This window comes from Homo sapiens, chromosome 9 (assembly GCF_000001405.40).
Source record: "Homo sapiens chromosome 9, GRCh38.p14 Primary Assembly".
NCBI classification, from domain to species: Eukaryota; Metazoa; Chordata; class Mammalia; order Primates; family Hominidae; genus Homo; species Homo sapiens.
Window position 1 is genome coordinate 107,032,758 of NC_000009.12, and position 26,197 is coordinate 107,058,954.

The 26,197-nt window shown below is 43.6% G+C and overlaps 1 long non-coding RNA gene across 1 annotated transcript in view, besides 1 other annotated feature; it reads right to left on the reverse strand.

Moving 5' to 3' along the window:
• The window catches only part of LOC340512 (uncharacterized), a 128,156-nt gene that overhangs the window by 57,925 nt on the left and 44,034 nt on the right, over nucleotides 1-26,197 (reverse strand). The gene's annotated exons all lie outside the window — the stretch shown is intronic.
• Nucleotides 17,015-17,533: an enhancer, noted in NCBI's record as "OCT4-NANOG hESC enhancer chr9:109812053-109812571 (GRCh37/hg19 assembly coordinates)". NCBI's record gives its function as "activates a minimal SCP1, AML or CMV promoter by ChIP-STARR-seq in naive and primed H9 embryonic stem cells {active_cell/tissue: H9 hESC(naive and primed)}" and the evidence as "EXISTENCE:reporter gene assay evidence [ECO:0000049][PMID:30033119]".

Sequence of the window (26,197 nt, forward strand, 5' to 3'; positions counted from 1 at the left end):
GGAAGGTATAGATTTTAAGGAAACCTGATCCAAAACATGACTGTGCACTTTAATTTGGGAGTGGACGATAGTTTAGGAACTGGAGCAAAGAGAACAGTGAATTTATTCAGGGCAGGAGGGGAGTGTGTGTTTGCGGGGACGAGGTGGGGAATTGAGAAAGTTGAATGTAGTTGAAATAACTGTCCATGGAATTCAGGGTAGGTTAGGAAGGAAGCAAAATGGGATGGCGATATGATTGGCTGTGTCCCCACCCAAATCTCATCTTGAATGTTGGTTCCCACAATCCCCACGAGTCATAGGAGAGACACTAGGATGTAATTGAATCATTGGGCTTTGACCGCCATGATGTTCTTGTGATAGTGAGTTCTCATGAGATCTGATGGTCTTATAAGGGGCTATCCCCACTTTAGCTCTGCAATTCTCCTTGCTGATGCCATGTGAAGAAGGATGTGTTTGTTTCTCCTTCCGCCATGATTGTGAGTTTCCTGAGGCCTCCCCAGGTGTGCTGAATTGTGAGTCAATTAAATCTCTTTCCTTTATAAATTACCCAGTCTCGGGTATGTCCTTATTAGCAACATGAGAACAGACGAATACAGATAGGATTTAATGCAGGCAGATATTTATGTGATTAGAAATATTGCAATAAAAGTAAAGAGAGGGCTTAGGAGCATCTTTAAAAATATATCTCATTTCACAAGCACTCAGGAAGAGACCATTTGTGTCTAAACCTGACAAGTTGGGTTTGGTGGCTACTTGATCCCCATTTCAAACCCTCCGCTTTTTTCTCCTAGGATGGACTGCCTGGTTTACACTCATCTGTTGAATCATTTTTGTTACAAAGCCATAGAGTTAATGGGAGATTTGAATAAAATTGCTTTTATAAAAAGGGGCTCCTCAAGAAAGAAAAAATATTGAGAATTTCACCAGATCAAAGAGACACACTTCTTTAGCAGAAATAGATGATTAGTTGAGGTGTTTGTGATATAATTACAGATGGGTGGTGAGAGAACTCCCCCCCATGGTCCCCCATCATGCCCATAGACCTAGCACAGTATAGACTCCATGAGCTCCACCACTCCTTGATATGTAACCTTGGGCAAGTAAATGAACCTTCCTTAGTCTGTTTCTTCATCTTGAAAATGACTTCTCTTCTGGGGCGGTAATGTGGGCAGAATGAGAAAATGGATATAAAATAATGCAAGGGTTAGTCCTTATTTTGTTGGAGTGCCCACTGTAGTAGGTTTCTTTGAGGCTGACTTACCTAAAAGGATGATCTGGGATACATTTACTGCATTAAAGTTTCTTCAGTTCCCATCCAGATTCACTAAGGGAAACTGAAAGATACTTGAGTACATGAAAGATCTTAAGCTTGGTGCCCACATCAGAAGAAGTTTCTTGGTCTAAAGTAGTGATTCTCAAGTTTCAGCATGCCCCAGAATCACACAGAAGGTTTTGTTAACACACAGGTGGTGGCGTTCCACCACCAGAATTTTTGATTCAGTAGGTCCGGGATGGGGCCCAAGAATTTTCACTTCTAAAATGTTCCTAGTTGCTGCTGCTGCCATCCAGGAGACCACACTTGAAGAATCACAGGTCTTTGCTATCGTGAATAGTGCTGCAACAAACATATGCAGGCATGTGTCTTTATTTATAATAGGATGATTTATATTCCTTTGGGTATATACCCAGCAATGGGATTGCTGGGTCAAATGGTATTTCTGTCTTTAGGTCTTTGAGGAATCGCCACATTGTCTTCCACAGTGTTTGAACTAATCTACACTCCCACGAACAGTGTATAAGTGTTCTTTTTGCTCCACAACCTAGCCACCGTCTGTTATTTTTTGACTTTTTAATAGCCACTCTGACTGGTGTAAGATGGTATCTCATTGTGGTTTTGATTTGTATTTCTGTAATGGTTAGTGACGATGAGCTTTTTTTCATATGCTTTTTGGCCACATGTATGCCTCCTTTTGAGAAGTATCTGTTCATATCTTTTGCCTACTTTTGTATGGGGTTGTTTGGTTTGGTTTGTAAATTTAAGTTCACTTGCACCCCTTTAAAAAAAAGGAATCAATGAGTCTAAAAGACTTACAGATCTGAGACAGCGAGTCATTCCCCATGTGACCCCTTTTCAAAGCAGAGCCACCAGCACTATTCCCTGTCAATAGAGGAAGACATTTTTCGTTTCACAGATGAGTGGGGACTCTTGTTCCTTCTCTCCCAATCAGTGCTCTGAAGTGAAAGTCACTGACTTTTCATGATTAAACTCTGAAGCTTGGTTGGCCAGTCATTGAGGGAAGAGGCTGTAACCACACACCTAAATGAATGGGTTTGATTGATAATGAAGTGAGCTGTTTCTGGCATGATTGTGATGATGAAGGCATGGTCATGCTGCACGATGCAGGAGGCGATTAGGAGCAGTCTTCCTCGTTCATACTGGGTTAAAAAGGACTTCAGGGAGTGAGAAACAGCCAAATAGAGTAAATATAATTTTTAAGCAGGGAAATAAGCGCTACTGAGAGGTAATGCTGAAGGGAATATAAAATGTTGCCACCTGCCTTCTAAGCCTCCTTCTTATGCCTGGGAATTACCAAATGTGTGAAGTTGAGTCCAGTGCCCATAAAAGAAACTGCAAATACCAGGCACTTATCTTCCCTGCATTTAGGGGACCTGATGGAGACTCTGCCCCTCAGTGCAGTAACTCCAGATTCTACCTGAAGTTAACAAACCCAAGAAGCAGGGATTACTGAGAATCCACCTCTCAAGGAGTGGGGCAACTCTACTGAGTTTTTAGAAGCACCTGAAGCAGAAGTTCAAGGGGCAGCACAAGGCATGTTGGTGGTTTCAGGTATGCATGCTATGGTATCTAATGCTCAGGGGAGGTTACACTGGTGACTTCACCAGCTCAGTTGTCAGTTCTCGATCCTGGTTGGGTTTTGGCTACAGAGACTCCAAGCTTAGTGCCAGAGAGGTTTTTAGTTTGTTTGTGTGTTTTAATTTTGTTGTTAACTGTTGCTTGCAGCTGAGAACCCTGATCAATTCAAAATAAGTTTAAAACAAACTCCAAAATCAGAAAACCTAGTTATGAGTCCTGCTTTTCCATTTTTGTTTGTAATTTTGTGCAAATCTCTTAGCCTATCTCAGCCCTAACTCCTTAAATTGTAAATAGAGAAGAAGAGTAATTTCTACACAAAGGTTGTTGGAAATAATGAGACAAATATGTGGAAATGATTTTAAAACCATATTGCACTATAAAAACATGGGTTACTATTTTAATACAAATATAGACTTACATGGCCTCTCTATAACTGAGGCTTGATTTGGGCCCTTCCCCCAAATTAGTAAGCCTTCCCTTTTCTGTGCTCATCAGTACCTGAAATTGTCTCTACTTAGAGTATTTTCACAATGAATTTTAGTTACTTAATAATCTGTCTCTTCTACAAGACTGAGTTCAAGGGCAGTCTTGTTTACCTTTTCCTTTCCCTCTAGTATCAATTGGCACATAGCAGGTTCACGGTAATTGTCAATTGGATGAGAACATAAAAGAATTTGCCGAACACTCTAGGAGCATACTAGAAAGTTTCCAGTACAGATGCAACTCTCACTTTCTTCCTTGGCAACACTTTTTGGATTTGTAGCAACATGCCCCAATGGACAAGGGAGCGATCAGATGGAATAGGCTCATGGTGAGGCTACTGGTTGTCCTGCAGGTGCAAGTGATGGACGCAGTGGAGGAAATGCATTTTAATTGGTGGCATAAAAAACACTTCCCCAGTGCTGGGTTGGGTTGTAAGTGCCATCTGTCCTGCCACAGAGGATTAAAGGGAAGAACACCTTTCCCTGGATTCTGGAGACAGCGTAGGCATTAAGATGAGCTGTTGATATTAACTTGTCTGTGCTCCACCTGGCTAATTGCAGGCAAGGGAATCTGTCTAGGGTTTCCAGTTTGAAATCAAATGGATAATACAGTGGCAGGTCTCTCATTCCCAGGTGTTTGGTTGCGTTTGTTAAAGGGAATTCTAGAGAGAGTGAGAATTAAACATTTTTTGGCCTATCCTGGAAGGTTTTCTGTCAACATAATCCATTGTTTGATGTTTGATCTCCCAGTCACAGAAAAAAACAAAATGTGCTTCTTCATTCTGGCTCTGTCTTATCTTACACAACCTCTTTCATTTGCTTATTCCCTCCACAATTACTGAGTCCCTATGTTGAGTACTGGGGACACCAAGGAAGCTATAACATTGTTTCTGAAATATGAAAAAGTACTGTCATGGATAAGAAGTAGGGGAGGAAGTAAGACCTATAGAGGGAAGGAAGAAACAAAGCTAAGAAAGAAAAAGGGAAAGAAAAGACGCTTAGCTATGCCCATGGGTCACAGTCCCTGTTGTATTTTCTGTGCTGTCTCCCTCATTCTGTTTGAGAAATGCTTCCAGGAGGACCACCTATCGTAGTGCTTCTCCATTGTCTAGATGAAAGCCACATGGTCCAGACCTGGCCAACTCTGTTACAACATCTTCCTGTCCTCGGTGATGCATACAAAGATAGGACACAACAAAAGAAAAGCAAAGAGGGTCTCTCCATGAAACAGCCCATTAAGGTGCTGAAAAGGGAGAGATTTTTCCTCTGCTGAAGCCATGAGCTACACCTGTAAACACTGGGCTGCTGGAGGCCCTCAGTCTTGGGACTGGCTATGCTATGTTGTGGTAACAATCTGTAAGTCTCAGTTGCTGGTGACAAAGGTTTCTGCCTTGTTCACACTATCAGTACACTGAGGGGCAGCTGAGAGCTCTGTTCTAAATTCCCTTACTTGGGACCAAAGCTGATCAAGCAACCACTGATCTAAATGTTGCTAGTCACTATGGCAGAGGTAAAAAAGATTGAAGGGGTGTGTCCTGCCAATTAAATGTTCTAATCCAGAAGTGACACATGTCAGAAGTCACATGTCACTTCTGCTTACAACTCATTGGCCAGAACTAGTCATAGGACCCCAGCCCATCATAAGGGGATTGGGAGACATTAAGTCTCCTATGTTCCCAGAAGGGAGAGTAATCAGATATTTGGAGAACAAAGGAATGCATGTGTGTATGTATAAATGTATATAAGCATATAGATATATATGTATTTTTACATTAATGTGTGTATACATAGTCATGCATCATTTAGCAATGGAAATATGTTCTGAGAAATGTGTCATCAGGTGATTTTTGTCATCATACAAACATCAGAGTGTACTCACACAAACCTAGATGGTATAGCCTACTACACACCTAGCCTGTATGGCATATAGCCTATTTTTAGGCAGCAATTCTGTACAGCCTGTTACTCTACTGAATTCTGTAAGTAATTATAATTTACACCTATATCTTTGGCTTTCAGTGACTGTAAGCTTCTTGAAAGAAAGGCTAAACAATGTATCTATGTTTCCTAAAATATGAGAATTCCTTTCCTGAGACAAATATTGGCACCTGTGGTTGGGATAACATTTTACCCAGCAAGACCAAGAATCAATAAATAATGAATCCACATGCACAAATATTACTGCTTGTTATATTTTGCAGGGAGGGGAAACATTATATACATGAATAAACATTAGGATATGAATGTCCCTTTGCCTAATCTATGTGTGAATCTCATGCCATACGTTGCATTAAGTAAACAAAAGTCCATGAAGAATTGCAGCTCCCATCTTCAGTAATGGTTATAAAAATAACCGCATCCATCTACTATGTAATTCCCCTGTGCCCAGCACTATGCTGGGTGCTTAATATGCTTAATGCCGTTCTGTCCTCAGCACAACCCTGCAGTGAGTGAGTACAGTCATCCCCATTTTAGAGGCAAATAGACTGAGGCCCCAGAGAGTTTAAACAAGTTGCCCACAGCTGGTGGGGGTCAGGATCAGGATCTAGATGCTTCTTTTATGCCACATTCATCTCTCTGCCTCTTCAATGTCCTCATTCCCTAGCTCCAAAATCAACTTCTCAGTATTCACTTCTTAGGAGTGAGTTTCTGGCCCTTTCAGCTTCTACAGTAGGAGGTGAGCTTCTGGCAAGGAAATTGCGGGGGAAGAGAGAGTCGCTGTTAGGAAGGCAGCCAGCAGTGGCTGCCTCCCCATAGCACATGGGACAGGGCTGAAGAAACTGGAAGTGTTTACTGCAGAGGAGAATAATGAAAGGGTATGATTGCTGTCTTCAAGCATCCTAAATCTTTTATATGAGTGTCTCTAGAAGGTAAGCCCAGTGCAATGGGTGGGGATTTCAGTAAGAATCTTCTAATATCCCAGCAGTCAAGAGAATGGACTTAACAGAGGGCAGGTCATGCAAGGTGTTCAGACAGACTGGAAGGCGTCAGGCCATGGGGAAGGAGATGCACTCTGGAGTCAGAAAGACCTGGGTTGATCTAGTTCTGCCACATCTGAGCTCCGTGACATAGGACAGGTTATTTAAACACTGAGTCTCTCTTTCCTCATAAATTGAGCCAGATAATACCTATTCTGCAGGCTCATTATGAAAATTAGAAGTAATACATGCAGAGGACTGCTATAGAGCAGTGGAAATAAGAATATCATAATCATTGCCTTAGATGGGACATCTCCCTTAGCACAGCTCTTTGAGATTCAAGAATCAAATGAGAAGGGTAGAGCACTGACTGGTATGACCTGTAGAGATCTCACTGGGGTAAAAAGGTCTTTATGAAGCATAATATCCTAAAATGTGGGCAATTTTTTTGGGGGGGAGGATTTCATGACAAGTTTTGAGAGCAGCACTGATTGGTGGGAGGCAGCAGTCTTGTTACAGAAATTTTTTTCTTTGTGACTGTTGGTGGAGGGGTTGGGAATTTCCCATATTATGTGTACTTCATCTCCAATAAGGGATCAAGTTACTCTCTTTGACTTAACCGCAGCAAGCCTGTCATCGACCCTCTGTCTCGGTAAAATTCTCACCACTGAGTTTACAGTTGATTGATTGTTCCTTCCACATACTATAATTGCTTCATTAGAAGCTTCAGATGGTTCATTGTGTTGGCAACTTCCTGTAAAACTGTCTGCACAATCAGGGCCAGATACATGCCACTGAGTCACCAGGGATTGAATATTTGCGTGTGTGTGTGTGCATGTGTGTGTGTGTGTGTGTGTGTCTGTCTGTCTGTCTGTTTTCAAAAGGCAGACTATTATGCAGGGTTTATTCCATGGCTGAGGGGCAGCATCTGAGTGACCTCAGCCACCCCAGGGCATCAGTTACCATCTGTTTATTAACAGCTCTTCAATTTCTAGCTCCAGCCCAAGATCTCTTCCCTGATCTTCAGAATGAGATAGCAAAATGCTTCAAGGTATGATCCCACAAGCATCTCCAACTCAACATCCCTAATCTTGAGCTGATGATCCCCACTGCACCTCACTCCGCTAAAACCAGTGATCTCTCTCATTCCCCATCTCAGCAAATGGCATCACCATCCAGCAGTTGCACAGGCAGATTTCTGCCCATTGTCTGTTCTCCCTCACACTCTACACCCAGTCAGCAAGCCCTGTGAATTCTTTCTTCCACGCCTTTTTCTTCAGGTCCATTCCCTCATTCCCACAGTCACTTCCATTGCTTAAGCTACCACTATTTATTCCATGGGCTACAGCAACAGCCTCTTTCATTTGTGCTCCCTCCAAGCTCAAAAAGATGGCCAGTGCTGGGCATGGTGGTTCATATCTGTAATCCCAGATACTCAGGAAGCTGAGGCAGAAGGATCACTTGAGCCCAGGAGCTCGAGGCCAGCCTGGGCAATATAGAAAGACCCCATCTCTAAAAACAACAAAAAACCCTCAAACTGATAACATCACTTGCATATTTAAAACTCTTTAAAAACTTTATGCTGCAGTATACTTTTTTCCTTAGCATCTTGTATTCCTTTTTTACTTTCTTTTTTTTTTTTTTTTCCAGAGAGGACCTCTCTCTGTGCTGGTGTGCAGTGGCACAGTCACAGCTCACTGCAGCCTCAACCTCCAAGCTTAAGTGATCCTTCCACCTCAGCCTCCGGAATAGCTGGGGCCACAAGTGCATCCCACCACACCCAGCACATTTTTTTAGTTTTGGTAGAATTAGGGCTCTCACCACATTGCCCAGGCAGGTCTCAAACTCCTGGGCTCAAGTAATCCCCTTGCCCCGGCTTCTCAAAATGCTGGGATTACAGGCATGAGCCACTGTGCCCATCCCCTTTCTTTTTAAAAAATAATCCTTATTTCTCATAACACTCTTTTTCCCTGACATCAAGGGTCGTGTCTTTCTTATTCACCACAGTATATCCCCATGATTAGCAGCTGTTAGCCACAGAGAAGGAGCTCAGGAACCATCCACAGCCATGAAAGAACAAAATAGGAGGTCATCTTGTTAGCTGACATTTCTCCCTATAGTCTAAAATGTCTTCGGGGACGGAGAATGGAGCTCTTCAAATATCAAATGGGCAGAACGTAACAAATAAGTCTACCCGGAGTATGAGATGCAAGCCTTTCACAAATGTGCCTCTCCAGCCTTAGCTCTACCAAATCCCATCCTTTCCTCTCACCTCCATTACTGCTGTCTGTGCTCCAAGTGGCCAGAACTGTCCTCTCCTGTCTGCAAACACCCCAGGCCCATTCACATGCTCATTCATATCACCATTGCTTTTGCACATGTGTTCCTCTGCCTTTTCCTTCCTTCCTTCTCCACCCAGGGAAATTCTGCTCATCCTCAGTGGCCACTTCTTTGACTACCCCAGGTAAAGATAGTTGCTCCTACCTTGGGTTAGTCAGTTCAGGCTGCCATAAACAAAACACCATAGACTGGGTGGCTTAAAGAACAGACACTCATTTCTCACACTTCTGGAGGCTGAAGTCCAAGATCAGGGTGCCAGCATGGTCAGGTTCTGGTGAGGGCTCTCTTCCTGGGTTGCAGGTGGCTACCTTCTCTCTGTGTCCTCACATGGTGGTGGGAGAGAGAGAGAAAGCTCTCTGGTCTCTTCTTTTAAGGGCGCTCATCTATGAGGACTCTACCCTCATGACCTCATTTGAATCTGATTAACCTTCAAAGGCCTCACCTGCAAATAACATCATATTGGGGTTAGGGCTTCAATATATGAATTTTCAGGGGGATACAAACATTCCTCACTCCGTAAATCTCTTTATCCTACCTTCCTACTTTACTATGTGTAATCATTATAATGACTACAAATATCAAGCACTTACTATGTGTTTCATATTTTTTTTATTTCATTCAATTCTCATTCTTATCCTAAGAGGGTAGGTAATTGATATGGCTTGAATATTTGTTCCCTCCAAATCTCAAGTTAAAATGTGATCCTCAGTGTTGGAGGTGGGACTGAGTGGGAGGTGTTTGGGTCCCCAGGGCAGATCACTCATGCATGAATGGCCTGGTGCCCTCCTGGTGGTAACATGGTAATGAGTGAGTTCTTGCTCTATTAGTTTATGCAAAATCTGATTGTTAAAAAGAGGCTGGCACATCCTCCCCTCTCTCTTGCTCCTTCTCTTGCCACATGACAGGCCCTCTCCCCCTTCACCTTCTGCTACGATTTAAAGCTTCCTGAGGCCCTCACCAGAAGCAGATACTGGCACTATATTTCTTGTACAGCCTGCAGAGCCATGAGCCAAATAAACCTCTTTATAAATGGTCCAGCCTTGGGTATTCCTTTATAGCAACGTTAAATGGACTAATAATACAGCACTTTTGTCCCTATCTCAGAAATGAGGAAAAAGTCACAGAGTAGATAGACCATTTGCCCAAAGTCTTACAACCACCAAGGGGTGGCCCTACCCAAGCCTGGAATCAGGGGCTCCTGACCCCAAAACCAAAGACTAACCACTCTCTTGTATTGCCTAGAGCAGGAGTTGGTGAATGTTTTCTGTAAAGGGCCAAATAGTAAATATTTTAGGCTTTGCAGGGCATATGTTCTCTATCATAACTACTCAACTCTGCCATTATAGCACAAAAGCAGCCATAGAAAATATATAAATGAATGAGCATGGCCTTGTTCCAATAAAACTTTATTTATGGACTCTGAAATTTGAATTTCATATAGTTTTCATGTGTCACAAAATAGTCTTCTTTTGATTTTTTTCCCAACCATTTAAAAATGTAAAACCAATCTTAGCTCACAGGCTGTACAAAAACACATAGTATGCTGATCCCTGGCCTAAACCACTACATTGAACTTAGAATAGTAATTAGTTTTTAAACATATCTCTCTTCTCCAATTCCCCCTGACCTTCTCAAGCAGGAGCCTGCAGTACTCATTCTGTTTCTCCAACAGCCCACTTAACATTTTCCTCTTCAGTGTCTTTTCATACAGTATAGGGCTGCTTCCTTACCACCTTCATGTCCTTGTCCTTCTCAGCGAGGTTGGCCCTGGCCACACATCTAAAAGTGTAGCAGCCTCCTCTACAATTCATGCCCTTTATCCTGTTTTATCTTTCTCCTTTGTACTTCTCAAGCACGTAATTTTATAACCAAGCATGTAGTCTTTCCATTTATCTTGTTATTTATCTTGTTTAGTGTCCCCAGTAGAATGTTAGTTACTTGCAGGCAAGCACTTCCCTTTTGTACACTGCTGTAAACCCAGAACCTAGAAGGGTATGTAGCGCATAGTAAGAGCAAAATAAATATTTTCTTAAGGAATCATTCACTTATCTAAGTCATTTTAAAAATCCAGCACAGAGTAGATTCTCAAAATTAAAAGCTTAGGCTGGGCACAATGGCTTAATGCCAGTAAACCCAGCATTTTGAGAGGACGAAGTGGGCAGATCACTTGAGGTCAGGAGATCCAGACCAGCCTGGCCAACATGGTGAAACCCCATCTCTACTAAAGATACAAAACTTAGCCAGGTGTGGTGGCAGGCACATGTAATCCCAGCTACTCAGGAGGCTGAGGTAGGAGAATCACTTGAACCCAGGAGGCGGAGGTTGCAGTGAGCAGAGATCACGCCTTTGCACTCCAGCCTGGGCGACAGAGCAAGACTCCATCTCAAAAAACAAAAACAATTAAATGAACAGCTAGATGAGGTATGGATCATGTTTCCTCCCAAGATCTTATGCTTTTGGGTTTGTAGAAAATCTCTCGTTTTCTATGGAGTATGTAGAGGGCAGAAACGGGCCCTTGCTTTGTCTATCTGATCTCCCTGTTAGATGCTGATCTGCACTGAGGTTTCTTGGAGGTGTGAACTCCTGACCCTGTTCCTTCTGGAATGCTGGGCTGGAGTATCTCAGGGAGGAGGCAGGACGTGACTAGGGCAAGGGGATCAGCCTCAGACGGGAGCAGCAGATGGAGCCGGGGACAGCTTGGTAAGGAAGGCCTGGAATCCTGGCAGGAAAGAGAAAAGGTGCATGCCAGGGTTCCCGGGCGGGCTGGCAGAGTAGAACAGGCTTCTTGTTAAGTTAATTGAGGTAATTTCTGCTGCCACCTTTTGGATAGTAGCAAAATTCTCTTTCCACCAGCCACTGATCATATCTCTGCCTCCTGCCACATTTCATTGTACAGACAGTGCACTAAATTTAGCTACATTTATTTAGCTGTTCCTTAAAACTTTGTCACTTAAAAAATAATTATAGGATTTCTCTGACAGACTGCAATACACAGAGTGCACCAAATTACAGGTATAATTTGGAGATCCAACTGGGATCACCAAATAAAATTGACAGCAGCGGCCTAATTCCAGAATAATCCATGTGGCACTGGAGAGGATTTGTTCCTTAGGCCCCTCTCCTTAATCTGTGTATTGAGCCAAAAGGTCAAAGAAACCAAAGCGAAATAAAGGAAGTGGCCTTTAGGCCAAGGTATGGACCCCGGGGAAGTCCAGCCTTCCTTCTGCTTGGCAGAACTGGGCAGACCACCAGGCCCCAGACGTGCTCTCCCCGAGTGCAAAGAAAGTTAACTTCCATCCTTCCACCCAGCCAGGAGCCTGACAAGGTGAGCTCTAGGAGAGAAGGGCTTCATTAATTTTTAAATTTTTCTTTTGCATTTTCTGTGATTGTGAACTACAGGAACCAAGGTTTGGCTCCCAAGGAAAAATTGATGCTCAGGAAGAAAACAGCAGGTCCTTCTGGGAAGTGAAGACACCACTCAGCAGAGCCTAAGTGGACATAAAGCCACAGAGTGATGGATAATTGTGTTACCAATTCATTTCACAAACGGTGCTGAGGTCCTGCTGAGCTGCTGCTTTTGTACAGACCCTGGGGACACACAAGCCAATCAGAAAAGTAAGGGAGACCTATTCAGCCTAAAACCTTCTGCAGATGCTACAGAAGGGCCCTAGAGGGGCAGAGAGAGCCAGGCTTGGGGTCATGCCTCGGGGAGCAGCTGGGCACAGAGGCCAGGAACTGGCAAGGAGGATGGCGCCGCCCTATTGGTGATTTTTGATGTCTGTGGATTTCCTCCTCTCTAAATCAAGCTCTGTTCTTCTCAGATACATCATTGTGGCTTTCAGGTAGGAATAAAGAACTCTCTGGCAAGGGATATTTCCCTGGGGAGCTGGGTGGAGTCTAGAGCATCCCTTCAGAAGTTAGCACTTCAGAGGTTGATTTCTGGAACAACTGGTGGCTAGGAGCACCGCCAGCATTAATACAGCGAGATAGTCCAGTTGGAAGGAATCTTTCCGATTTTCTGTTCCAAGATCTGTGTTGTTAACATTGCTAACTCAAGCCCCAGAACAGTTAAGTGACTTGTCACAGGACATAGAGCAAGGCTGGGGACAAGTCTTGAAAAGAAACTAGTTCTCCTGTCTCTCATTCCAGGGCTACCATTTATTTATTTATTTATTTATTTATTTATTTATTTTTATTTATTTATTTTTTGAGATGGAATCTTGCTCTGTCACCCAGGCTGGAGTGCAGTGGCAAGATCTTGGCTCACTGCAAGCTCCGCCTCCCAGGTTCACGGCATTCTCCTGCCTCAGCCTCCCAAGTAGCTGGGACTACAGGCGCCCGCCACCACACCCGGCTAATTTTTTTGTATTTTTAGTAGAGACGGGGTTTCACCGTGTTAGCCAGGATGGTGTTGATCTCCTGACCTTGTGATCTGCCCCCCTCAGCCTCCCAAAGTGCTGGGATTACAGGTGTGAGCCACTGCACCCGGCCCAGGGCTACCATTTTTAATGCAACTCCTGGCTAGTACAAAGAGTACTAGTTTTGGAGCCAGATGATTTTGAATTTGAATCCAGGCCCTGGCACACACCAATTCTGAGGCCTAAGTAAGTCTCTCAAAGTTACTGTTTCCTCATCTGTAAAATGGAGACAGTCATTTCCTGCTGGGCCTCCTGTATTGTGTGGTTAAAAAGATCAAATGATCCAGGTTGGGAGAAAGTGCTTTGTAAGTTGCAAGGCACTGAATGAATACCGCTCATGGTCATATTGCCATCTGTAGCTGAGATCCCAAAGGAGCCCAACTTTCCAACAGGAGCCCTAAACAGAACAGCAGAACAGTGTCCCCAGAGCACCTAGAAGGCAGGAAGCAGGCCTCAGCACCACCCCACTGTCCATCCTTCCCTCTGTCCACTTCCTCTCCCACAGGGCCTGAGAAGAGTGAGCTGCAAATCTTTCCGTATTGCACAGTAGCTCTGAGTCCCTGGCTATGCAATAGCCATGAGGAAAATCCAGGGCATTTGACTAGTTCTTTCCTGCTGGTGTGAACATCTCAATTCTCAGCCTTTGCCTTGTTTCCCAAGGCCTTTGGGTATGTAGAGGACCCTGTCCTTGGGAGGACCCTGTCCTTGGGTTCTACCCATCTCCCATGGAACCAGAGCCTACCCTGCAGTCTGGAAGGGGTGACAGCAAATTTTTAGGACCACAGACTGGGATGGCTAGTAGTTGGCAGCTGGCCCTGGCCTTTGATCACTGCTTCTGCAAAGCCTATGACCAGAACCAGCAGCCCAGATTTCTGCAGCTCACCTGCAGGACCCTACACAGTCACAAACCCTGCTAGTACCTAGGGAGGCAGAGGACAGACTTGAGCTGCCACTGCAGATAGCCTAACTGGTGACCATCTCTGAGTGTAACCTCCTGCACTAACTAATGCACAACATTACTATTCACTGAGCACCTGCTATATGTCAGGGACTTCCCCAAGCACTATTGACTTGGTCTTCTAATGCCTGCTAAGTAAGAAACAATTGTTTCTATTACACAAATGAGGAAATGAGAGTCCAGAAAGGTTGTAAAATTTGCCCAAGGTCATGCAGCTAACAACAACATTGATAAAGCAGTAATGAGTGCTTTCAATTGTGGATTTTCTCAACAACCCCTACAATAACCTGGAGAGGGTTAGAACGCTCCCTGTCTTGTAGATGAGAAGGCTGGGTATGGAAGAAGCTAATGACTTGCCCACTCACATAGATAGCAAATTACCATTGATCTGTAGTCAAATCCATGCCCCACTTATGTGGTTTCCAACCCACATGGGCTGGTGCTGGATTTAGACCCAACATTTCTGATGCTAACCCCAGTGTTCATGCCCCAGTCCCGGTCATTTGGAATTCTTGCTGCAGAATCACCACAGAATCACCAAGGTAGCCTTTTCCAAGCGTAGGTTCTGAGATTCTGCCTCTGAAGACCTGTTTCAGCAGATCTGGTAAGGGCCTATGTGGCTGTGTTTATAACACATGCCACAGGTACTTGCAGTGCTTGAAAAGCACGAGGTTCTATTACAGCTTCCCTAACTGCCAAGGTTTCTAATGGCAAATCCTGCCTCGTAGGTTTCCATCTTCCATCCTTAACTTACAGCGTCACCACAACTGGCTCTGTCCTTGCCTCCATCACTGACAACCTGCCTTCGCTGTAAGTCCAGAGGCCGCTTTCAGATGCTTACCTCAGTTGGCTTCTCAGTGGCCACCAACGCCTGTGACCACTCCTCATTCCTGATTCTCCATAACATTCCTTTTCTCCTGGTTTTCCTCCCATACTACTCTGGCCTCTTCTTTTAATTAAGTCTCCTAACTGACTTCCGGCCTCATTCTGTCTCTCCCCAGGACTTTGTGTTCAGCCACATTCTTTTGCCATTTTCCTTGCCCTGGGTGACCTCATCCACGCCATGGCTTCAATTGCTCCCTCTGTGTGGATAATGCACATCACCTACCCAGAGCTCCCTGAAATCCCCAAGCCTCTTGATAGTGTCCACCCGGCTATCTCACAAGGCACCTCAAATGCAGCATGTCTGTAACGGATGACAGAGTCTTCTCTGGCTACTACTGCTGTCTCATCTCTGTGAAGGATCACTCATGGGTCACTGAAGGCAGAGACCTGGTGGTTTATGTTGGGGGGTGTTTCCCCAACCCCTCCTGCATCAGGTTATTACCAAATGCCAGATATTCTAGCTCCTAACTTCCCAAGGAGCACCCCCAGGTCCCCATCTACATGGCCTCTGTCCCAGTTCTTTCTCTTCAGGGCCCTGATGGATCCCTTTAGTGTCTTTCTGACCAGGTTCTTATCCACCCAATGCACTCTCCTCCCAGTAGCCAGGCCACATGCCTACTGAAAACCATGAAGTATTTCCCTATTGCTTCAGGGTAAAATCCCAGTCTTTTATCTCCTGCCCAAAGCACTTCCTGAGGGGGCCAGACTTTCCTTTCCAGCCACATCCCCTGCAACTCCCCATCAAACAGTTCTATCTGTGCTCCAGGCACTTAGACCTGCACACAGTTCTGGGAAAGCTTCAGGGTCTTTTGATATCTTTGCACATGCTGTTCTCTCTGGCAGGAAGAGACTTTGCTGACTTCTGCACTTAACACTATCTCCTTCTCCACTGTTCATCCTTCAAGTCTCCCTCAGGAGCCACCACCTCTAGAAGCCCTCCCTGACTGCTGGGTTTGGGCAGGTACCCCTCCCTTGCCTGCCACAGCAGCCTGTGACCCCTCTTTCCCAGAGTTTACCACCAACCATGAACCATCACTCTCCCTCCCAGTGGAACACCAGCAACTTCCCATTTTGTTCATCTCTCTCTGTCCAGAGCACAGGTCAGTACAAGTGGCACTTAATAAATGTCTGTGGCCTAATAATGATGAAAATAATAACATGTGCCAAACACTTACTGAGGACTTAAGACTACCAGGCACCATATTAATTATGGACATTGTATCACTTAACCCATACAACAACCCTATAAGGAAACTCTAATTCTCATTCCCATTTTATAGATGAGGAAACTGAGGTGGGGGATGTTAGTTAATTTACCCAAGGTGACACATTTAGTAAGTGATGGAGTGGGAACCAAAGCCCCGTCAAATTAATGAATAAAGGAGGAAATTGTGACTCTGGCTTGACCCTGCGCTCAAAATTGAGATAGGACCACATGTCAGTAGTAATATTTAATCGTGTCATCCTGAGTAAAAGTCACTGGGAAATCAACTCCGAATTCACTGTGGGAAAGAGAAGACCTTTAGCTTTTTAAAACTAACCAGCCATCCTGCAACCCTGAGAACCTGAAGTAAGCATTCCTAAGACATTCCTAAGAAAAACATGTGCGAGGTTTTCCTCCTGAGTCTCCCTTCCCCTGACTCCTCCCTCTCCCTCCTCCTGCACTGTCCACTGAATAAGTCCCAGTTCCACCTTGCTTCCCCGGCAGCCAGAGGGGCCATCTGCAGAGAACCACAAACTCCATCTCTTCAATTACCCCCAATTCCCAGCTGCTCCGGGAACACATGAGGGCAGAAAAATGGCTTGAAATCTGTATGCGGGAGAGGTTGGGAAGGTTGAAGAGAGCAATTTTTGTTTCACATCATTCCTTTGTATAATGTTGTATCCTTCTGACAAGTCCCCATAATACATCTTAACTTCACCAATTGCTGCCTTAAGAGAAAACAGTGAAGACCTATCTTTAATGTCAAAGGAACAATGGGCGTCCTTCCAGAGGAGGAAAATGACTTGCTTTGAAAGAGTTGAAGAAGAAAAGTGCAAAATGTTCCAGCTTAACGTGAGGGGGGAGAAAGTCAGCAGCTGTGTACTGCCACGTCCGCTCCCCGGCTGCACGACTAGGGCGGCCCTGCCAGCTACATCTTTCTGTTGGATCCACAGGCTGAGGAGGGCGCCTCTTAGCTTAAGTGGGGGCAGATAGTGGGTGTTTATTCCTAGGGAAAGTCGAGCCAGCTCCTCTCGGCCCAGGTGTGCCTGTGGGTGTGTATACCTGGATGTAGAGTTGCTGCAGTTCCCACTTATTGAAATCTGCTTTACCTTCAAAGACAATGGGGACCTGAATGCTTAAGTGGCATGCCTGGGAACTTCAGCCACTGGCTGTTGTTCTTCCTCCAGAGCATTCTGTTTGCACCTGATTTTCTCCACATGTGGCCACTCTCCACCAGGCATTGAGATGCAGATAGATTCTAACCAACTTTGGCACAAAGTCTCAGTGGACTAAAGATTATTTAGGTCCACCTCATTAGACTTTTCCCCATAGGTTGGGAACTTCTTCGTCTACCTTTCCATTTTCAGATTTGGCACTGCTACACCAAGCTCCTTGCAACTTTCTGATTGTGCAATTTCATGAATTCCTGTCCTGTGCCCTGGTGCCTTTGCACATGCTGTTCCCTTTGTCTGAAATTCCCCTGGGAAGTCCTGTTCATTTCTTTAAGACTCAGCTCAAATATTTCCTCCTTCTGGAAGCCTATGTGACCTTTTAAGTGAGTTTATTACCCCCCTCCTTTGGATGCCAGGCTACTTCTACTATAGCAGACATTACCCTGAATGAAATTTATTGATTTACATGATGCCTCTATTAGGTGATGATGGTTTCGGAAGCAGGGACTTTGTTTATTCATATAGAGATAGATATTATAGGTATAGATACAGACATATGTCCACAGCCTGGACCTAGCTCAGTGCCAGGCACATTGTATATGCACAATAAATCCTTTTTGGATGAGAGGATCTAAACCTGAGGTCCTTAATCCTGGCTCAAAATTAGATTTACCTGGGAGATTATGTCTAACACATCTCAATAACAGGTTCCTACCCTAAACTAAATTAATTAGAGTCTCTGGATCGCTATGTAACTTGCATTTGAATCACCTTAGAGGGCTCATTAAACACAAATGGCTGACCTCCACCCCCAGAGTTTCTAATTCAGTTGGTCTGAAGTGGGCCCTAGAATTTCCATTTCTAACAAGTTCCGAGGTGATGTGGATGATGGGGGGATCTGAGGACCACACTTTGAGAACCACTATCTAGGCCCAGGACTTCCCTACTTATCCATTTCAATCAGCTTGAACCAGCTGAGACGCTCTTGCATATCCTGAAGTGGTCTAAGTGCTGTGAATTTGAGTCAGGGTTCCCTGCTTGCCCTAAAAAGGCTTCAAAGCAGCTTCCCAAATTTCAATGTGCATAAAAATCACCTGGAATCTGTTAAATTACTGAACCTAATAAAGTAGGTCTGAGATTCTGCACTTGTAACAAGCTCTTAAGCAATGCCTACATTCCAGAGCAGGAACTGGCAAACTTTTTCTGTAAAGGGTAAGATACTAAATATTGTCAGTTTTATTGGCCATAGAGTCTCTGTAGCAATTACTCAACTCTGCATTATAACCTGAAAGCAACCACAAACAATACAAAAGTGAATGGGCATTTTCATTCATAAATGAATGGGCATTTCAAAACTTTATTTACAACAACAGGTGGGAAAGACAGGATTTTGCTCATGGGTCATAGTTTGCTGAGTCTGCTTCTAGAGACTTGAAAAAGCAAAACGTATTGCATTGGCCAAGACAAAAGTGAGGTTCAGGTGGCTGGAGAGGAGGCAAGAAATGAGTTGGGTTTGGGGTTAAAAAGTGACTTAAGCTCTGAGTAGAGGAAGGAAAGGAGAGAGGACATTGTTGGCAGAGGGACAGAGGCCCAGAGGGGAGACTGAGAGCCTTCTAGCCACAATGGAATGACCAGAATGTGGGTAATTAGACTATATTAGCTTCAAAGTGACCCACTTAACTCTTTCCCCTTACACCTTCCCTGCACCAAATTAATAGACATTTATCAGAACAGCCTGTTTCAGGAAGTAAAAGATCAGGGGCCAAGCAGCAGGTATGTGTGTTGGGGAGAGGGGTCTCTGAATTATTTCTTTTGCCATTGTTGAGTTCCAGGGTCCAATAGTAGAAGCAGCATCAGTGAAGAGTCCTGAGACTTTGGACTCACTATTATGTGTTCAGCATTGTTCTAGTGCCTTAGATTGTTACATTTAATACTACCAACTCTGTGTGGTATGTACTATTAGCCCCATATTAGAGAAGCCAAGGTGATAATGCTTATCTAACCCACATGTACCACAAAAACGATTCTCTAAGGAAAAGAAGTATTCTGTTACCAGAAGAAAAATACAATACACATTCATTCAACTCCATTGCCCAACGTATGTACATACAATTTCCAAAATGCCCCCACCTAACATGGTACAAATATTCCATTTAAAACTGAAAACACACTCATACATATTCTAAAGGGAAGTCTAGATAAGTAATAAAAATAACTAGCATTTATTAAGCTCTTAATTTATGCCAGTCACTACAATTTCTTTACACGTATTGACTTATTTAAGTCTCACAAAATTATTAAAAAAAAAGATATTACTGTTTTATCCCAGGTTTACATATGAAGAAACAGAGGCACAATGGAGTGTTATTAGTTGCCAAAAGTTATGCAAGTAAGTAGTAGACTTGGGATACCAACATAAGCAATCTTATTCCAGAGCCAGTGCTCATAATTTCTACACAAACTTAACTAGTTGACTGCCTCTCTCTTCTAAGACAGGATTTCTGCAATGAAAATTCTATTCTGGTGTGGGTGAAGTTTCGTGTGTCTAGAAAATCATGGTAAATGACATATTCACTCACTCCTCCCCAAAATATATGATACACGATGAGAAAGAAAAAGATAACTACCATTAAAAACTTTCTTGGACAAAGAGAAGAGAAACAATATATTGTAATCATCAACTGTATAGCATCTACCATGAGGATAAGTGGATGGTAGGTAGGAACAACCAGGGCATCTCTGCCCTGTGATGAAAGGTATTCCTTGGTCAACCTGTCTGGCTTCCCCTCATTCTGCTCTGGCAGGAAATCCTTTGTCTATTCATCCTGTGGCCATAACTAAGCGTGACAATAAGACGTTTCCCTTCCCATGGCTACTTGCTTTCTCTCAGTGAGTTCATGAGCCTGGGACTGCCCCAGTTGTTGACCAGTTTGTTGCAGATTATCATTTGTCAGGTTTTGTTTTTCAGGCATTACAACCTTCTTAAATCTTAATAAACACTTGATTGATTTGCATTCAGTCAAATCCAGTCAGAAAGATGGGTCCTTGAATCTCAACCACCATCTGGAAGTTTCTGTTCCTTGGCAGCAGGCCTTCCTGTTGTGTCCACCGTACTAATGATGCACTAAGGCAGGGAGGCAAGACTGAAATTTCTTTTGCTTCTCGTTGCATCCCAGAGAAGGGCTTTTTATGCTACGGAAGAAAGATGATGTTCGGAGGGGTTGGATATCATGCTACCTCAAGGTTCCAGTCTCTTCTCTTTGTATTTAGCCTCCCTTCATTTCATTTATGTTAAATTTATCCTGGGATAGAGAATTTAGCTTTTCCAACTCACAGGGCTCCTCTCAGCCATTCTGGACTGCTGACTGATACAGGGTGGGCTTCTCTGAGAGAAGTTCTCTCTTCTTCCCATTGCTTCCTTCTTCCTTACAGGGCATTACTGAAGGCCATAAGGAATAGACAATTCTCTCCAATATAATTATATTTTCTATCTCTAGAACATGGTTTGAGCCTTAATAATATTACATAAAACAGTTCAATCCAGCCGACTTCCCAGCCAAGAACAGAGAAATTCTTGGTGCTCTGCAACCTACTGTGACTCAGCCAGTTCTACATTTTAGGATGTCACTTACAAAACCTCACTTCCAAGAGCCAATGTTATTGTTATTTAGGTCTCATTTCATTGTAAGTGAAAGAAATCCATCTTAAAATGGCTTAAGAAGAAAAGGGAATGTATTGGCTCATGTGAATGGGAAATCCAGGGCTTCTGCTGGCTTTAGATGTGGCCATTTCTAAAGCCTGAAATTATGCCATCAGTCTACTCTTGCTCCCTCAAAATCTCAGCTCTGATTTCCTTTGTATTGATTTTATTCTCTGTCAGTAGTTCCAGGTTTATATTTAACCAGAAGAAATAAAGCATCACTTTTTGAATACAGTTACGTATTACATAAGAATATTGCAAACAACAATGGACCACATATATGGTGGTGGTCCTATAAGATTATACTATATTTTTACTGTACTTTTTCTATGTTTAGATACACAAATACTTACCATTGTGTTACAATTGCCTACAGTGTTTTGTACAGTGACATGCTGTACATATTTGTAGCCTAGAATAAACAGGCTATACTATACAGCCTAGGTGTGTAGTAGGCTATCCCATCTAGGTTTGTGTGAGTACACTGTATGACGTTCACACAATGATGAAATCTCCTAAGGACACATTTCTCAGAGTGTATTCTCAATGAGCCCCATTGAGAAGTGATGTATGACTCTAATTCCAGTCAAAAACTCATTGCTGATAATCATTTACCCAACTGGAGCCACATGACCATTCCTAAACCAATCACTGTGGATAGAGAGGACACAACACAATGATTGGTCGTGCCTGGCCAAGTGCCCAAACTCAAAGCCAAGAATTGGAAACTAGCCCAAGCTAAAACACACAGTCTGAAAATAGGAAGAATATTTTCTCAAGAGAAAAGAGTGGTTCTGTTAGCAGAAGAGATGCTGGACAGGCAAACAACAGGAGTCCACTTTAAGGACCATGACTATTTGTGCTGACTCTTGTTTCCCCAAGCCCAGCCCAATGCTCGTCACATAGAGAGAACTCTTAATACTTGTTGAATGGATGAATGAGTTCAGAGATTGTTTATATTCCAATTACTCTATGGGGAAGCCTAGTGGAGGTTGAGCTCTTTAGGATCGTCCATGAGTTCAAGTGGATAGCCCAATTTTAATGACTCCTGGATTTGCCTCATTGGTGAAATAATCCTCCTCTCTCCATAGGGACCCCTCTTCCCAACACTTCATCAGAAGGGAAATCTGGCAACTTACATGCTCCCTGAAATTTAAAAATACAACAAATTTATCTGAAGCAACAAAATTGTATATTCATTCTTTCTTTCATTCATTCATTCCACCAACATTTACTGAGCACTTATTTTATACTAAGCATTGTGCTAGGTACAAACATATGAGCATGAAGGTCATAATCCCTTACCTTAAGAAGCTCAAGCCTAATAGGCCAACAAGTGATTTAAAAAAAACAAAACAAAACCCCACACACAAAAAAAACAAAACAAAATGGAGGAAGCTTATGAAGTAAAAGATTATGGGCTTTGCTGGCCAGGTGCAGTGGCTTACACCTGTAATCCCAGCACTTTGGGAGGCCGAGGAGGGTGGATCACCTAAGGTCGGGAGTTCGAGACCAGCCTGGCCAACATGGTGAAACCCTGTTTCTACAAAAAATACAAAAGTTAGTCAGATGTGGTGGCTCATGCCTGTAATCTCAGCTTCTCAGGAGGCTGAGGCAGGGGAATCGCTTGAACCTGGGAGGCGAAGGTTGCAGTGAGCCAAGATAACACCACTGCACTCCAACTTGTGCGACAGAGCAAGACTCTCTCAAAAAAAAAAAAGATTTGGGCTTTGCTGTTTGACCTTAGTTTGAAATTTGGCTTTACCTTCTAATTATCAATGAAACATTGGGAGTAATTAACCTCTTCAAGCCTCTTTTTTCTTATCAGCAAAATTAGTTATAATTGTATCACCAACTTCAGAGGGGTATCATGTGAATTAAATGATAATATATATGTACAGCATGTAACTAGAGCCTGATAGAAGTGGTAGCTCTTCTATTTGAAGCTGTGGAAGATTAGAGGAAAAATCAACTAACTCACCCTGTAGAAGTCAAAGAAAATTTGATGAAAGACATGAGATTTGAGCTAGTTCTTAAGGATGAACAGGAGATCACAAAGTAGAGGATGATTGGGGTGGAGAGGAGCATTCTGACAGAGGAAATAGTTTATTCAAAGCTTTGAAAACCTGAAGAAAATTGGTACATTTAGAGAGCAGCAAATACTTCCAGACGCCTGGTGTATTACTGGGATAGTGAGGGGAGTGGAAGGTGTGAAATGCCAGTATTCAGGGAAGGAATAAGGATTCTGGGATTTCTTTGTCCAGTGGGAGTAAAGGGCACCTGGCAATCTCTGCCCCAAAACCATAAATCATTGGTGTTCCAGGTAAGTTGGTGTCAGAACAGCCATTATTTCTTCTATACACACATTAAGATGGTACCTTTCAAATAGATGGAGAAGTTGAGGGTCCATTTATAGTTCCTTCTAAATGACTTGCAATAAATCACAATATTTATTATTCAGAGTCTGCTTTGAATGAAGCAGGGATTGTGAGTTGGGGTGGGGGAGGGGTGTGGCTTTACTCCTGGGGAAAAGGCTGGGGGATTTAATGAGATAATATTCATAAGGTGCCTTGAACTCCCCAAGGCGATATGCTACAGCTACCACTTAGGGACCCTGCAAGATCTGGGGAGATAATGTTTCTAAGTGAAGATGCCAGACTGCAGGAATGCTAGACAGAACAGAGGGGGGTGGAGGGGGAAGACTTGGTCCTTAAGTAATTTCTCTCATCAGCATCACAGCTAGAACAATCCATTACAGCAAGCACAGAGAAATGCCAGTTAGGAGGCTTGGGTCCAGATGCTCAGGCCCATGTGGCATCCTTCACTGGAGAAACACCCACTAGTTTCTACCCTGGGCCACACGCCACTCACACATTAAACAGACTACCAGGGGCTCTGGAGCCTTGCTCACAGCCTTGGTCCTGAACCTTTCTCTCTTACCTATCTTGTATTCCACTTCTCATTCTAATTCTGGTGGTCAGTTATGGCAGAAAAAAAGACAGCTAGGATCCAGGATTCCAAATTCCTGACTAGCTGCTTACTGATGTCACAGGTCCCTCATGAGTGCATAGTACAAAAAGAACATAAACACTTTGTCGACCGCTAGGATGGGGGACGGCTAGATTGTGGGAGGGGAGGTCATTATTAGCTCCTCTCACCCCGCTGAGTCCCTCCTTTTCTCTGGATCATTCTCTTATTCTTACCTGGCATTACACATAGAGACAGTGATAGCCCCAGTTCCATGAATGGACCATTCTTGAAAGAATAAAACATTTTTTAAAAAATCCATAAAGAAGAGAGAACTTCAGATCTCTTTGTTGCCTCACCCAAAGCTTGCTGCCTTCACTGTGGCCCAGTTCTTGGTCCCTGATGACTCTATTTGAATATGATCCATTTTAGAATTCCTTCTCCTTACACATCGTATTTGTTAGATGAAACTAACTGCTGTAACAAATCCTAAAATTTCAGTGGCTTAACTCTGTTAAAAGCTTGCTTTTTATTTGTGGTCAATGTGTATGTTTTTCTTCAGTCTAGGGGAGCCAGTCCACAGGGGCAGGGAGAGACAGGCTTATGTTCCATTTAGGGATTCAAGGTGACAGAGTTTTCCATCTGCATCAAGTGGCTTTCAGGATCACCCTGGTGTTAGCATCCAATTTGCAAAAGAAGAAGAGCATGAAGGATTAGATGTGGGAGATATTGGTGGGCCAGGCCTCAGAGGGACACACCTCACCACCACTCATAATCCATCAGCTAGATTGCCATAATATGATCCCACTTAACAGCGAGGAAGGCAGGAAATGTAGTCTTACTGCATGATCAGAGCAGGAGTGAATGGAGGATTTGATTAACAGCTGGCTAGCTTGCCATGATATGGATCTGCAAGGTCCAAATTGTAAAATATTACGTGAGAATTTGGCTTTAAGGATATAGGATCAGGGTGTTGAAAAGAGTATGGCAGCACTTGCAGATCCCAGTCAAATCAATGGAAAGCCATTGAAGACATGGTGGGGAAGATTAGATATTTGCTTCAGTTTGAGAAATGCTGCTTGCAGGAGCATCATGAATTGGGCAGAGGGCTGGGGCCTCAGAGGCCCAGGGCAATAGGGAGATACCACATGTTGATAGTTCTGGGTAGAAGTGGCCATCAAAAAGACTAGACAGTGGGACAAGCTTAGGGATATATAAAGCGGTTGGTTGAAAACCTCATCTTTGCAGATTTTAAGTCTTTAAGAAAGATGACAGGCATGTGGAAGGAGGAGAAGTCTGTGAATAGGTTACAAAAATCCTTCATGACTGAAAGTGGCACAGAGGTTGATAAATAATATCACTGGAGTTAGGAAAAGAGCAATGGGACTGCCTTAAAGGAGATGCATAAGGAAAGAGTCATACAGTATTCTGGACAGGGGAGCAGAAAGGTAGGAGGATTCCCAGCTCCATGGTGTGGTCTCGAGGTGGAAGGTATGAGAGCAGGAGCAGCCTTTGCTTGAGAGGGCTTAGTTGGCTCTGGCTGCCAGGACACAGCACCATAGACTGGTTTATAAACAACAGAAATTGACTTCTCCACAGTTCTGGAGTCTGGGAAGTATATCATCAGGGTACCAGTATGGTCACGTTCTTCTGAGAGCCCTCTTCTGGGTTGCAGAATGTCAACTTCCTGTTGTATCCTCACATGGAGGAAAGACAGCTAACTAACTCTCGGGACTCTTCTTAAAAGGACACCAATCCTATTAATGAGAGTGCCACCATCATGACCTAATCACTTCCCAAAGGACCCACCTGCAAATACCATCACATTGGAATTTAGGGTTTCAACGTATGAATGTGAGGGACACAAACATTCAGTCCATTGCAGCCGTAAAAGATACAGTGGGCTCAGATACAGCCAGGTCTCAGTCCAGATGAAGCAGTGCAGAGGGCATACCAGGAGGCCTTTGAGGGTAGGCAGGCATCTTATAGAGGCTCAATGCAGAGGAGATCCCAAGAGGAGAATGGCTTGGGAATGGGCCAGGGCTGACCTAGGTGGGACTTTGAGAAAACGGGAGAGAAGAGCTGACCAGATGGACCTCGGACTGAGGAAGACAACAAGCCCCATTATGACTACTGCATTTCACTGTATGTGAATTATACCCCAGTTTAAAAAAAATGAAATAAAACTCATGAGGGCAACTTTTTAAAAAATGATGTAAATTACATAGAAATATATCAACCGTTTCCCCCAAATGAAGAAGTTTGGGTTTTATACACA